This window comes from Homo sapiens, chromosome 4, assembly GCF_000001405.40.
Source record: "Homo sapiens chromosome 4, GRCh38.p14 Primary Assembly".
Taxonomy (NCBI): domain Eukaryota; kingdom Metazoa; phylum Chordata; class Mammalia; order Primates; family Hominidae; genus Homo; species Homo sapiens.
Genome location: NC_000004.12, coordinates 136570103 through 136572602, shown reverse-complemented (window position 1 = coordinate 136572602; position 2500 = coordinate 136570103).

Here is a 2500-nt window from a genome sequence, read left to right as displayed (position 1 = left end):
GTTAAATTGCCTTGTAATATAAATAAGTTGGAGTAACCAACATCACAATCATTTGAGAAGTGCATTTGATTTATTCGTGCAATAAAGATTTACTTAGCCCCTTTTATTTATAAGGGATTGTTTGTGCTAGAAAATAACAAAAAGGTAAGCTTTGTAATATTCATCTTTTTTTCCCTCATATATATTGTATTATCCTGTCTGACATTCAATAAATGCTTAAATGAATGAGGAAATATGTTTAAATTAGTGAAACATTAAGTAAATACAGTATTAATTATTAAAATGCAGCTGAATTTGTAACATTTTGAGCACATAGAGTAGAAGAAAGTCATAAACAAATAATTGCAACACAGAGTGGTATACTGTATTAAGTGAATGTGCAGGTGGTAGTAAGAGTGCTGAGTAAATAAAGGCAACAATTTGGAATTGAGGAGGGAATCCTAATACTAAGTTGTATTGCAGGTAACAGAGGCAAAAAATCATGAATATTTTATGTGAGAATTTTATTTATGTCTCACACATGTAAAAGTCTAGAGATGGCAGTCTAGTGCTAATACGTAGGTTCTGGCTCACAGGGCTCTCAGAGTCCCAGGCTTATTCCAACTCTTCATTGTAGGAAACAGTGCTTCCCTTCACTGCAGGTCATTGCTAGAGTACCAACCATTTCATTTTTGTTGTCACCATCATATTGAAGTTTCAGCCATCAAGAAGGCTGAAGCTTCAGTGAAAGAGAACAAGGGGCGTGCATCAATCATCCTCTAAGAAAGGCTTCCCAAAGCTTCCATGAAGTGCATATGATTTATTCATGCAATAAAGATTTACTTAGCACCTTTTATTTATAAGAGATTGTGTGTACTAGACAATAATAAAAAGGTAATTGTTGTAATATTCATCTTTTTATACCTCATGTGTATTGTATTACCATGTCTAACATTTAATAAATGCTTAAATGAATAAAGAAAAATGTGACATGTTAACTTACGTTTTATTTCCTCAAACTTCATGTATGATCTACAAGTGACTTCAAGGATGTCTAGTAGGAAATATAGTATCTATACCAAGCAATCATATGCCTAGCTAAAAACGAAACAGAACAAAACCAAAACCAAAACCAAAAACAAAAAGTTGTGCCTCTATGGAATAAGAGAATGATGGGAAGTTTTCTAGAGAATGTAACATCTGACCCGAATTTTGAAGCAAAACTGTCAGTGGAACAATCCATTCATGGAGTGATATGAGAAGACAAATAATGTAAACATAGAAAGTGGCATTTATAGAGGTAAGGAGATCAGAGGAAGCAGGCTATGGTACATTATGTTAACTTCTGTAATATTAAAGTTGGACTTTTATCTTGGTGAAAATTTAGAATCATTATTGGATTTTGCAACTGCATTGCATTATCTGGTGTTGACAGACAAGTAATAGACTCAGAATGGTGGGCTAGCATGAGGAGAGACTGGAGGCCAGATGGCTGTTTTCAAAATATTGCCCATGATATAGAGCAGAAGAAAATCTGAAAACAATGAAGATAGATCTTTCAGGTGGAGTAGAAAAGATTTGATAAGAAATTGGATGTGAGACTGAAGGGGAGAAAAGTGTCAAACATTTATCAGGAGTTTCTATTTTGGTTCCTCAGGTAGAATAACCGAGATCAGAAATGCAATGTGACAAGTAGGTTTAATGGAATAAATAGGTCACCTTTGGACTTACGTATGAATTGACTATGAAACATTTTTTTGAATGAGTGTAAGTTTTAAGATAAATATATGAATTGATTATACTGTTTAGGCAAATATGAAGAGTTAAAACAGTCCAATACTGTAAAATATTATATTTGTGATATGATTCCCTTGCACATCACACACCTCACTACCTCAAATGTATCTAAAAAGTCAGATATAAAATTATTCTTCTGCATGGCAGATAGATACCCTGCCTTTAATGGAATAAAAGGTATAAGACAACATTTACAATGAAATATTGTGTGCTCTAAATCATCTTAGATGTTCAAGTGTCTTCTTAGTTACCATTGTTTAATATTTTAAAGAGTGAAGCGGGAAACAGTTATAACTTGCTATTACATAACTGCAAGTGATAAATAAACACATTTACCTAAAACACAGCAATTAAAAACACTTTTGAAGATTTAGAATGGGTCCCTTAGGGTACTACAACCTCATTTAAAAATACTGTATATTGAAACATTCTCTGTGAACTATCACTTCTTAATTATGTACTTTTCTCAAGATCAAATATATAAACTGAAGGGAATCTTATAACTGAAGTGGAGGGAAGATGCTGTGAACGATATTACCCTATTAATGAGTCTGTAAATAAGAAATAAAAAGGCCAAAGATAAGCTATCCAAATAAAAATCAATAAACATTGTTTCCACAAACATCTAGCAAATCATATGTCAAAATTCTAGAAGATGTCATTTAAACAACCACTTTAAAGTCATTTGACTTAAAAAATTGTTTCATTTCTCCAGAGCATAGTT